This window comes from Homo sapiens, chromosome 19 (genome assembly GCF_000001405.40).
Source record: "Homo sapiens chromosome 19, GRCh38.p14 Primary Assembly".
Taxonomy (NCBI): Eukaryota; Metazoa; Chordata; class Mammalia; order Primates; family Hominidae; genus Homo; species Homo sapiens.
Genome location: NC_000019.10, coordinates 48,433,303 through 48,445,973, shown reverse-complemented (window position 1 = coordinate 48,445,973; position 12,671 = coordinate 48,433,303). Strand labels below are relative to the sequence as shown.

Genomic DNA, 12,671 nt, shown 5'->3' with positions numbered 1-12,671 from the left:
GAGCGTCACTTCCGGGTTTCGCTTTCCGCCTAATGAGATCCGCCCTACTGCGCGGTTACCTTGGAAACTCCTGGGACCGCTAATCGGAGAGGGTGCGGAAACGCTGGAGGAGAACTCAGGTAATGGCGCCAGCGAAAGAAGCCTGCGGATACGGAGAAACTGCATCTTCGCGTGACTTTGGGCGCTGTTCCTCGCGGTAGTGGCAAGGCCTTCTGGGAGTTGTAGTTCTACGGGAGGCTTGTTTTCCCCATTGTCCAGTTTGATTCCGAGAGCGTTCTTTCCAGTTAATTAATTATTCATATATGCAAATTTGCTCTTTCACTGGCAAGGAGACTGAGTTTCTACTCCCCGAGGACCCATAAGGCCGGTTTCTTTTCCTCTCTCTGTTGTGATGGCTTTCATTTGTTTCAAAAATGCTTTCTTGTAGACAGGATGGATATTATCTGTAAGTTAGGCGGTTCAATCTACCCTCTAGGGGCAGTCAATTGCCTAACCAGACATTCACATTTCAGCTCTGGTCAGCGAGCACTTAATCAGAAAGTCCACCCTCTGGAGGCAGCTATTACAAGTGCTTCGTCTCTCTTTATCGCCCATCAGCACCAGCGGTTTGGCTAATTGACATAATGAAATGTTAGAAATAGATTCTCATTGGTGAGATTAACAGCATTCAAGATAATGCGGATTGGCTGGGATATGTCAGACACTCTCCTAGCTTGCATGAACAGGATATTGAGAATGTAGCAAGCCTTGGTACCTATAGCCATAGGAAATAAAACCATACCTTTGATCTTAATATGTTTTGTCTCCGGGATCTATCTCACCACTCTCTTGGGGTCTCTTATCTGCCCCAGTACCCTCTCGACTTTCTTTTCAGGGTCTCTTCCCACCTCCTCTTTCTTGGTCTTTGTCTCCCCAGGCACCTCCTTTCAGAGTCTCTGTTCTCTCTCTAATTCTGTCTCCTCTTCCCCTGTGGGACTTTTGTGTTTCTGTTTCCTCCAGAGAATTTGAGGGGGGCTAACAGATACGGAGCTTAGGCTTGGACTGAGGAGGCATAAAAACATGGTTTATTCCAAACACTGCAATGTGGAATAAGAGAGTGGGAAGGGAAGTTGGTGGAGAAGTGTGGACTCCCAGACCCTCCCCTCCGCAACCCAGCCCCAGACCCGGCTGGAGATCTGGGCAGAGGAGGCTTTTTGGAGGTCTGCTGGGTCATCACTGAAGGGTCGCAAATAAGGGTTGGATTTGGAGAGGATGTGCTTGGTGGCAAGTGGGGTGGTCCGGAGGTGCGGCAGGGTGGGAAGTTTTGGCTTCAGGGAGGTTGGGTTCATCGCGGTGCAAGGGAAGGCGGGGCTTCCGTTGGGGACGTGTCCTAGGTCAGAGTAGGGAAAAGCGACCGAGGGTGGAAGAGGAGGAGGGGGTGTCACGGTTTGATGTCAAGGGTCACAGTCTGGTCGGGGCACAGTCTGGGGTTCGGGTCACAGTTTGGGGTCAGGGGTCACAGTCTGGAGTCGGATGACCATTTTAGGAGTCGGATGTCACAGTCTGGGTCAGGGGTTTCTGTGTGGCGGGGCCAAGGTCTGGGGTCACAGTTTGGCGAACGCGTCTCACAGTTTTGAGTCCCAATGGATGAAAGGTTAAAAACGGGCTTCCCCGGAGGCGCGGCTGGGGCCGGGGAGCTGCACAGTGATGTGGGGGCCACGGCCCCGGGCGTGGAGGTGGGACGCGGGAGTGGCGTGAACCCCCCACCTCCCGCCCCATCTGGTGACGTTAAAAAGCCCTTGTCGGGTTTAAAAAAAAGTCCGGTGGGCTCCAAGGCCCCCGCCCCCTCGTTCTCAGGCTGGGTGATAGTTGAGGGACCAAATCCTCTCCGGCTTGCGGTTCCTCCAGAACCAGGGGGCGCAGGACGCTGCTCCAGGCGGGGTCCGGCCAGTTCCACTGCTTTCCTTCCCAACCCACGCGGGTCCTGTCCACTGCGGGCGCCCCCTCGGGCCGTGGCCTGCGCTGACCAAGGGGGCGGTGGGGCCCCCGGGGCCGCGTCATACCTCGGACTCGAGGCTAGAGAAGTGCGCCGAGCCCCTGCGGGTGCCCAGGTCCCCGCCCCGGTGTCTCCGGTGGGAAGCTGTGGGCAGCGGCGGCCCCCAGTGCGCGGCGTGCGGACACCTGCGAGCGTGGCGGGAGGGCCCGGTAAGCCTGCGCGCAGGGGCGGCGCGAGGGCACGAGCTGAGGTCCTCGAGCGAGCGCGAGGTGGGCGCGGGCGGCGGGAGGTCCCAGCCCCCAGCGGCGCGCCGGTGCCTGTGGTGGTGGGGCGCGGCGGCGGCGGGCGTGCGGTGCGAGGCCCGCGGGCGGTGCGGGTGCGACCGCGGGCACCCGCAGCGGGCCCGGCGTCGGGGCAGGGGCCCGGCGGCCCAGGGTGGAGGCGGTGGCGCCCACCAGCCGCCGTCCAGGCCATCGTGCGAGCAGCTGAGATGGCGCGGCGGCGGCAGCAGCTCCAGGCTGGCGCAGTGCCGACAGTGCCAGGCGGCCGGACCGCTGCGCGGGGGCAGGTAGTCCCAGCTCCCGGCGCGCCAGCCCCCGAGCTTGTCGACCGACCAGTAGCGGCCGGGCGGCGGCCCGAGGCGCTCGGCATACGGGTAAGGGAAGTCGGCGAACCACCAGGGCTCCAGGCCGCCCAGCGACGCGCCGCCCAGGCTCTCCGAGTCCTCCGAGTCCGACGGCGACGGCTCGAGATCGAGGTAAGGGCACGGGGGCGGCGCGGCGCGGCACGGGGGCGGAGCGGCCGGGGCTCCTCCGCCTGCGCCCCCCGTGCCCCCCGCGCCGCCCGCGCCTGGCCCCAGCAGGGGTTGGCTCTCGGGGTCCGAGCGCGGCCACCGCGCGGGCGCCGGCGGGCTCTCGTCCTCGAAGGCCAAGCGGCAGAGTGGCGGCCCGACGGCGGTGGCCGCGGCGGCGGGGGGCGCGGGCGGCGACGGGAAGCCGGGGAAGGCGCCGGCGGGGGGCTCGGCTGGCTCCTTGTCGCGTACGATGGCGAAATAGGAGGGCGGCGGCTTCTGCGGGGGCTGAGCGGCCGGCGGGGACAGCGGGCGCCCGGCTGCGCCCCGCGGTGCCGCGCGCGCTTCGCCCAGGCCGAGGCCTAGGCCCTGCGGCTCGATGGGGCCGTAGTAGCGGTGGAAGCCGTCGGCCAGGCCCGCGCCCCCCGGCGGCCCCGCGCCCTTGGTCCGGCGCCAGCGGTCCACTGAGGCGCGCTCGCGGGGCACGAAAGGTGCGGGCCCGGGAGCCGGCCGCGGCGCGGGGTACGCGGGGCTGGGCAGGGGCTGTGGCGGCGGCGGGGGCTTGGCGGGCGGTGGGGCGGCCTCAGCGCTGCAGCAGCTGTACATGCCCTGCGGGTCCGGGGACAGGACGGGGGTCAGCGCGAGATGCCCAGGACGCCTGCCCGCCTCCCCTCAGTCCCTCTCTCCTCTCCATTTACCCGCCTGTGTTTCCCGCTCTCTTCCCCACTATCCACATCTCGACCCACATCTCCTTGTCTCTGCTCGGCTTTACCTTTGTCCCCGCCCCTGCCATCTCCCCCTCTCTGCCTCCCTCTCTGCCCCATACCCTGGAGAAGGCCAGCAGGAAGTCCATGCGGTGGGTGGGCCCCAGGCAGTGCCGCAGGCGCCAGTACACCAGGTGCTCCCAGGCGAAGACCAGCAGGGACAGGCCCATGGCCACCAGGAGCATGTAGAAGACGCCCGCCATGTTGTCGATGTCCAGCTTGCTGCTCATCACCTCGATTTTGTCATTGTGGCAGATCCCAGAGAGCCACAGCCGCTCCAGCATCTCGATCTCATCTAGGGAGGGGCGGTCAAAAGTCACCTGCTATGAGTACCCTCTGAGGACCCTTGTCTGTGATGTGGGAATGTAGGCCCTTAGCCCCTTCCTCCCTCAGACCCTGGTGTCCGGGTCTTTGTCCCTTTCTTCCCCGGAACCCAGGGGCCTCGCCCTCCCCCTCTCCGCTGTGGAAATCCCTGTGTGCAGCCGCACCATCCCCCAGGAACTGCAGCAACGCCAGGTCGATGGGCCGCTTCCAGCGGGAGCCCTTGTGCAGGGCGATGCCATAGCCTGTCGTGGCGAAGACCTTGCCGGAGCCGATGGTGACAAGCTTGCAGCCCTCGTCCTTGCGGGCCATGTAATTGAGCACTGCAGCATCGTAGATGAAGGCGTCCAGCTTCCTGGGGGGAGGGGGAATGGAGGGTAGGGTCAGTCCCACCTAGATGCCCTGGCCGCCAGGCCTGGAACCTCCTCACCTGTAACCTCCAACTGCTCCAAATCCTAACTGGCCCTGAGCTCTTGAGCAAATCATTGCACTTCTCAGTGCCTCAGTTTCAACATCAGTAAAATGGGCATGGCAGCAGTATCTCCCTTCAGAGTTGTTGCAAAAGTATGTTGTTTAAGAGACAGGGTCTTGCTATGTTGTCCAGGCTGGACCAGAAATCCTGGGCTCAAGCGATCCTCCTATCTCAGCCTCCCCAGTAGCAGGGACTATAGGGAAAGCTTAGATAGTACCTCATGCAAAGGAGGTGCTGGAGAAGTGTTAACTGTGACTTTTTCTTTCTTTTTTTTTTTTTTTTTTTTTTTGAGACAGAGTCTCACTCTGTCACCCAGGCTGGAGTGCAGTGGCACAGTCTCGGCTCACTGCAAGATCCGACTCCTGGGTTCAAGCGATTCTCCTGCCTCAGCCTCCCAAGTAGCTGGGATTATAGGTGCCCACTACCACGCCCAGCTAATTTTTGCATTTTTAGTAGAGACGGGGTTCCACCATGTTGGCCAGGCTGATCTCGAACCCCTGTCCTTGTGGTCCACCTGTCTCAGCCTCCCAAAGTGCTGAGATTACAGGCGTGAGCAACCGCACCTGGCCAGCTGTGACTGTTAATGAAATAGTTATTCCTTTACTCCTCACCATAGCCCTCCAAAGAGTCCATTTACTCTTGCATTTTAAAAAAGAGGATTGAGACTGGCCATGGTAGCTCATGGCTGTAATCCCAGCACTTTGGGAAGCCAAGGCAGGTGGATCACCTGTCAGCTCAGGAGTTCCAGACCAGTCTGGCCAACATGGTGAAACCCCATCTCTACTGAAAATACAAAAATTAGCCAGGTGTGGTGGCAGGCACCTGTAATCCCAGCTACTCAGGAGGTTGAGGCAGGAGAATTGCTTGAACCTGGGAGGCAGAGGTTGCTGTGAGCCAAAATCGAGCCACTGCACTCCAGCCTGGGTGACAGAGAGAGATGCCATCTCAAAACAAATAAAGAGGAAGATTGAGGGAAAAAAATAATGCAAGTGAATGATCAGTTATATTGTGCCAAGCATTGTTCTATCTAGTCTAAGGACACTTTTTTTTTGTTTTCCTGAGACGAGGTCTCACTATGTTGCCCAAGCTGGAATGCAGTGGCACCATCATAGCTCACTGCAGCCTTGACCTCTTCGGTTCAACCGAACCTCCTGCCTCAGCCTCCTCAGTAGCTGGGACTAAAGGCACACATCACCACATCTGGCTAATTTTTGTATTTTTTGTAGAGACAGGGTTTTTCCATGTTGCCCAGGCTGGGCTCTAACTCCTGGGCTCAAGTGATCTTCCCGCCTTGGCCACCCAAAGTACTGGGACTACAGGTGTGAGCCTGTAGGGAGATAACCATTCTTTTCAGATGGGAAAACACAGACCCAGACACATAACTTGCTTGGGTTCTCCCACTAGGCCCTGATTTATTTATTTATTTATTTTTTTTTTCTTGAGACCGAGTTTCACTCTTGTCCCCCAGGCTGGAGTGCAGAGGCGTGATCTCAGCTCACTGCAACCTCCACCTCCCAGGTTCAAGGGATTCTCCTGCCTCAGCCACCCAAGTAGCTGGGATTATAGGCATGCACCACCACACACGGCTAATTTTGTATTTTTAGTAGAGATGGGGTTTCACCATGTTGGCCAGGCTGGTCTTGAACTCCTGACCTCAGTTGATCCACCCAACTCAGCCTCCCAAAATGCTGGGATTACAGGCGTGAGCCACCACACTTGGCCTAGGCCCTGCCCAGGCTGGAGTGCAATGGTGCGATCTGGGCTCACCACAACCTCCGCCTCCCCGGATCAAACGATTCTCCTGTCTCAGCCTCCGGAGTAGCTGGGATTACAGGCATGTGCCACCACGCCTGGCTAATTCTGTACTTTTAGTGGAGATGGGGTTTCTCCATGTTGGTCAGGCTGGTCTCAAACTCCCAACCTCAGGTTATCGTCCCACCTTGGCTTCCCAAAGTGGGTTTCTCCCAAGGTGCTGGGATTATAGGCATGAGCCACCGTGCCCAGCCTAGGCCCTGATTTCTAAGACTTGGTGGGAAGAAGGGCAGGGCTGTGGAGTTAGTTCTCATGGATGCATTTGTTATGGCACATGCTGCTATCACTCTCATTTACAACTGCTGTCATTTTACATTTATTTCTGTGGTTGTTTGATTAATCTCAACCTTCCCCATGAGACTGCAAGACCCCCAGGGTCCCAGTTGGTCTTATTCTCATCTGTGGCTGGGGCATAGTTCCTGGCATGTAGGACGGGGTTGATAGATATTTGCAGAATAAATGAATGAATGAATAAATGAATCCACACAGAGGAATACTGTGTAACTCTTCTGTGGTATGAGATAAATGCTTATGCTCTGACAGGTAAGGATGTATGGGGTGTATTTTATATATTTTTTAAATATTTATTTATTTATTTGTTTGTTTGTTTGTTTTTAGAGATGGGGTCTCACTCTGTTTCCCAGGCTGGTCTCAAACTCCTGGGCTGAAGCAATCCTCCTGCCTCAGCCTCCCAAAATGCTGGGATTACAGGCATGAGCTTTCACACCTGACCTTATGGGGTGTATTTTTTAAAAAGTTAGGCTGGGCATGATGGCTCATGCCTGTAATCCCAACACTTTGGGAGGCCAAGGCAGGAGGATCGCCTGAGCCCAGGAGTTTGAGACCAGCCTGGGCCACATAGTGATACCCTGCCTCTATAAAAAAAAAAAAAAATTAGCCAGGTGTGGTGATGCACCTATATTCCCAGCTACTCAGGAGGCTGAGGCAGGAGGATCCCTTCAGCCCAGGAGTTTGAAGCTGCAGTGAGCTATGATGACACCATTGCACCCCAGCCTGGGTGACAGAGGGATACCCTGTCTCTAAAAACAAAACAAATGAACACAAAAATTACTCCCAGAATCCTATATAGAATATGAGTTCATATTGGCCGGGCGCAGTGACTCACGCCTGTAATCCCAGCGCTTTGGGAGGCTGAGGCGGGCGGATCACATGAGGTCAGGAGTTCGATACCAGCCTGGCCAACATGGCGAAACCCCGTCTCTATTAAAAATACAAAAATTAGGCCGGGCACGGTGGCTAATGCCTGTAATCCCAGCACTTTGGGAGGCCGAGGCAGGCGGATCACGAGGTCAGGAGATCGAGACCATCCTGGCTAACACGGTGAAACCCTGTCTCTACTAAAAATACAAAAAATTAGCCAGACGTGGTGGCAGGCATCTGTAGTCCCAGTTACTCAGGAGGCTGAGGCAAGAGAATCGTTTGAACTCGGGAGGCAGAGGTTGCAGTGAGCCGAGATCGCACCACTACACTCCAGCCTGGGCGACAGAGCAAGACTCCGTCTCAAAAAAAAAAAAAAAAAAAAAAAAAAAAAGGCGGCTGGATGCTGAGTTGAAGAGAAGCCAAAGGATCTTCCAGAGAAGAATACTTAACCTCTAGTCTTGAGTAGTTAGCCTGTCTGTTGATTTAAGTCCTCCTATGTCCCCAAACCTTCAGAAAAACCCTGTCCACGCACTCACAGGCTCACATATAAATGCCGTGTGTGTGTGGTTGTTTGCGTGGAAATTAGAGAAAAGGACTGAATTAGTCCATACATGCTAAGTGGGGAAACAGACAGGAAGTGGATCCCCCAAATTGAATGTCTCTAGCTGAAGCAAAGACTCAGGGGTGGAGAATGTGAAGCTCCGGAGAATTAGCAGAAACGTGGGGAGGACATTCATCATCCCACCGTTGGAGAATGGGGTTTGAATTAATTTTATATAGATCCTAACAGGGAGTTCCCATATGACATCTGGAATATAAGTATAGGCGAGAAAAATACCACCACTGCCTGCAGGCACTTCTGCCTTGTAGGCAAACTGTAATTTTTCCCTACGTTTCTCTTTGTTTAGGAAGATGCCCTTGGGGGTGAAAGGTGAAGTGCTATTGATGTTTAAGTGGGAAGAATGTGGAGTTTCTAGAGTTAGGGATAGAAGGGCTGGGACTGGGATAAGATGGGAGGAGTGTCTCCAGGGGTCCTCAGAGGACAAGCGGGAGTGGAAGGAGAGACTCAAGTTACATTTTGGAGAAAGCTAAAAGTCAAGGCTTCCAGTGGTGGAAATATTTGAGAGATTTCAGAAAGAGGAGCTCTAACAGCATTCACTTTCAATGGTTTGCTCAGTTTTTCTGGGATATACTGTCTCCCTCCCCTCTCGCATCCACCACCCCTTCATGGTCCCTAAATATCTATTAAAACTCAGCCATTCCAGGGGCCCTGGCTCATGCCTGTCATCCCAGCACTTTGGGAGGCTGAGGCAGGAGGACTGCTTGGGTCCAGGAGTTCGAGACCAGCTTGGGCAACAAAGGGAGACCTGTCTCTACAAAAACTTTAAAAATTAGCCGGGTTTGGTGGTGCATGCCTGTCATCTCAGCTACTTGGGAGGCTGAGGTGGGAGGATCGCTTGAGGGTAGGAGGATGAGGTTGCAGTGAGCTATGATTGTGCCATGTACTCCAGCCTGGGTTACAGAGGGAGACCCTGTCTCGAAAACAAAACAAAACAAAACAAAAAGACCTCAGCCATTTCCTACAGCCTTTGTTTGGGTGTAGGTTGGGGAAAAATTAAAATTCCCTGCATCCGTCCTTTCTTTCTTGTTTGTTCCCACTCTGTCACCAGAGGGATCTTAACATTTGAGTCAGCGCTGTCCCTTTTCAGCTCACCACCCCCTCTTGGCTCCCCTCGTCACTCAGAGTGACTTGGATCACCTCGAGTTTAGAGGCCCTGTGCCACCTGACACCCCATCCCTCCTTACCCATCTGCCCTCATCTCCCAAGCCCCCCCTCACTCTGGCCTGGGAGATGCACCTGGACCTCTCCAGCTCGCTCCTGCCCCAGGGCCTTTGCACTGGCTGTTCTGCCTGCTGGAACATTCTTCTCCTAGACAGCTGCCTGACTCACTCTCTCACCTTGAAAGTGCCTTTGCCTGACTGACTCCATCTTGCTTCTAACCCTTAAGTTGTCCTTGCTTATTCCTGGGCATAGGCCAAACCAACTTTGGGAAGGAATTCTGTTCATGGTTTGACTCTGAAACAAAATCGATACTAGCCCTTTCCTAAAAAGACCCCCTTCTTGCCTGGGGACTAGTCTACCTTTGCAGGACTAACAAATTAGCTGCAAGATTAGAAATTAAGGTTAGGGGCCATGCAGCCTCTGGCTCCCCCGATTGCTCCTGGGGATGACATCATTACTGTAAAACCTAAGATGAGTGCTTGAGATATTCTACAGACCCTACACTCTATGGATCAGCTGACGCCACCCAGACTGGTAATCTGGCTCAGCCAGTTCTGCCATCCCACCCAGGAACAGAAAACAGCAAGAAAACCTCACTTCGACCGCCTGTGAGTCCAACTCCAACCTGACCAATCAGCACTCCCCGCTTCCCAAGCCCCTACCCGCCAAATTATCTTTAAAAACTCTGGTTCCCAAATGCTCAGGCAGACTGATGTGAGTGATAATAAAACTCCGGTCTCCCACACAGCCGGCTCTGCGTGAATGACTCTTTTTCCATTGCAGACCCCCCGTCTTGATAAATCGGCTCTGTCTAGGCAGCGGGCAACGTGAACCCACTGGGCAGTTACAACCTCCGTCAGGTGTTTGCTCCAAAGACACCTTCCTGAGCACCCTATTTGATACTGCAACCTCCAGTCTCCCGCCCCAGTTTTCCAAATGCATTCACCCTGCCCTATTTTTACCCATAGCGCGTATCCCCTTGGAATGCACTATAGAATATTCTCATTTATTCCGTGCATTGCACGTCTCCCTTCACTGGAATTTAAGTTCCATGAGGCAGGGACTTTGCCCGTCTGATTCACCACTGTATCCACAGGGTCTAGAACAGTGCCTAGCACACACTAGGTGCTTACTAAGAAATGGCTGGACGGCTGGGTGTGGTGGCTCATGCTTCTAACCCCAGCACTTTGGGAGGCCGCCCGGGGCACGGATCTCCTGAGGTCGGGAGTTCATAACCAGCTTGGCCAACATAGTGAAACCCCATCTCTACTAAAAATACAAAAATTAGCCGGGTGTGGTGGCATGTGCCTGTAATCTCAGCCACTCGGGAGGCTGAGGCAGGAGAATTGCTTGAACCTCGAGCGGATCACCTGAGTTCAGAAGTTCATGACCAGCCTGGCCAACATGGCGAAACCCTGTTGCTACTAAAAATACAAAAATTAGTCAGGTGTGGTGGCACACGCCTGTAATCTCAGCTACTTGGGAGGCTGAGGCAGGAGAATTGTTTAAACCTGGGAGGCGGACGTTGCAGTGAGCTGAGATGGTGCCCGGGCAATGGAGCAAGAGCAAGACTCCGTCTCAAAAAAAAAAAAAAAAAAACAAGTGGCTGAATGGGCACTTAAAGGGTAGACAAGGTGAAGAGACAGAGGAAGACGGCAGCTTTTTACAAGCCAAGGAGGAAGGTCTGGAAGAGGTCCTCCCACAGCCCTCAAAAGGAGCCATCACTGCCGACACCTTGATTTTGACCTTCTAGCCTCTACAACTGTGGGGCGATACATTTCTGTTGTGTAAGCCACTCAGTCTATGGTATTTTGTTATGGCTGCCCTAGCGAATTAATAGAATTGTATATAGAAAAATCCCAAAGGATCCACAATAAAAATTATTATGGCTAATAGAAGTTCAACAAGGTTCATGATACAAGATCAATATACGAAATAAATTACAAAATATGTGAAATAAATTATATTCCTATATACTAGCAATGAACAATTAAAATGAAATTAAAACAATTCCAGGCTGGGTGCGGTGGCTCATGCCTATAATCCCAGCACTTTGGGAGGCTGAGGCCAGCAGATTCCTTGGGGTCAGGAGTTTGACACTGGCAAAAAAATAAAAAATAAAATAAAATAAAATATTTAGGAATAAATTTAACAAAAGTTCAGGTAGGGAGTGGTCACTCAAGCTTGTCATCCCATCGCTTTGGGAGGCCAAGGTGGGAGGATTGCTTGAGGCCAGGAGTTTGAGACCAGCCTGGGCAACATAGTGAGACCATCTGTAAAAAAAAAAATACAATTAAAAATTTTTAAAAAAGAAGTTCGAAAGAAAAGAAAAGAAGTGGGCCAGGCATGGTGGCTCACGCCTGTAATCCCAAGAACACTTTGGGAGGCTGAGGTGGGCGGATCATCTCAGGTCAGAAGTTCAAGACCAGCCTGGCCAATATGGTGAAACCCCATCTCTACTAAAAATAAAAAGAACTAGCTGGGTGTGGTTGCGTGTGCCTGTAGTTCCAGCTACTCGGGAGGCTGAGGCAGGAGAATCACTTGATCCCAGGAGGTGGAGGTTGCAGTGAGCTGAGATCACACCACTGCACTCCAGCCTGGGTGACAGAGCGAGACTGCATCTCAAAAGAAAATAGAAGAAGCGGCCGCCAGGCGCGGTGGCTTGTGCCTGTAATGCCAGCACTTTGGGAGGCGGAGGCAGGCGGATCACGAGGTCAGGAGATCTAAACCATCCTGGCTAACACGGTGAAACCCCGTCTCTACTAAAAAAATACAAAAAATTAGCTGGATGAGGTGGCGGGCGCCTGTAGTCCCAGCTACTCGGGAAGCTGAGGCAGGAGAATGGTATGAACCCGGGAGGCAGAGCCTGCAGTGAGCCGAGATCGCGCCACTGCACTCCAGCCTGGGCAACAGAGCGAGACTCCATCTCAAAAAAAAAAAAAAAGAAAAGAAGCGGCCAAATGAGTAAACTCAGACTGGTCCAAGGGAGGCCTTCCATGGCCCAGACACTGGAGCTGAGAAGTAGGATTCCATTAACACAGAAAAGATGCCAAAAGGGCTTTCTCCGTGGAAAAAGGCAAGATGAGAACAGTGTGTACTGTTAGTTTGGAATGTGTGAGTGTGAATGCATCCATATTTTAATTGATCCAAAAGAAAAAAAAATAATGCTTACATTACGGAAAGGGGCCTTGATATTTCCTTTTTTGCCCCTCTTGAGTGAGTGAGAAATTGCACATCTCTCATGGAAAGGGCACCAAGAACTGGCTGGGAGGAGAAGCTGTGTTTCTCTATTTCTTTTTAGGACGTGCATTTCCTTTCTCCCCCTGTGGGGTTACTTGCCGGAAGCGGTAGGGTGAGCCCACGTTTGGCCTGCGAGCCGGCCAGAGCCCTGGGAGCTGCCTCTCCCTTGTGCCTCACTGTAAAGATGGAATTTTCTAGTGCTGTCCTCTATGGCAACCACTAGCTCGCCACATATGGCTATTTGCATTTAAATTTTATTTATTTATTCTTTATTTTCTATTTTTATTTTTGAGATAGAGTTATGCTATTGTTGCCCAGGCTGGAGTGCAATGTGCTGGTCTCAGCTCACTGCA

General features: G+C 53.6%; 1 protein-coding gene across 2 annotated transcripts in view, besides 2 other annotated features; it reads right to left on the bottom strand.

Moving 5' to 3' along the window:
* Positions 161 to 240: an enhancer, noted in NCBI's record as "active region_14895". NCBI's record gives its function as "activates an Ori minimal core promoter by ATAC-STARR-seq in GM12878 lymphoblastoid cells {active_cell/tissue: GM12878}" and the evidence as "EXISTENCE:reporter gene assay evidence [ECO:0000049][PMID:35858748]".
* The window catches only part of GRIN2D (glutamate ionotropic receptor NMDA type subunit 2D), a 51,264-nt gene continuing 39,635 nt past the window's right edge, over positions 1,043 to 12,671 (bottom strand). For both annotated transcript variants that reach the window (NM_000836.4, XM_011526872.2), the window contains 3 exons: positions 4,018 to 4,205; positions 3,592 to 3,824; positions 1,043 to 3,374 (listed from right to left, as the gene is read on the bottom strand). In NM_000836.4, coding sequence (NP_000827.2) covers positions 2,037 to 3,374; positions 3,592 to 3,824; positions 4,018 to 4,205 — 1,759 coding nt within the window. In that variant the 3' untranslated portion in view covers positions 1,043 to 2,036. The remainder of the gene's footprint in view (positions 3,375 to 3,591; positions 3,825 to 4,017; positions 4,206 to 12,671) is intronic.
* Positions 1,413 to 2,104: an enhancer, noted in NCBI's record as "H3K4me1 hESC enhancer chr19:48947127-48947818 (GRCh37/hg19 assembly coordinates)". NCBI's record gives its function as "activates a minimal SCP1, AML or CMV promoter by ChIP-STARR-seq in naive H9 embryonic stem cells {active_cell/tissue: H9 hESC(naive)}" and the evidence as "EXISTENCE:reporter gene assay evidence [ECO:0000049][PMID:30033119]".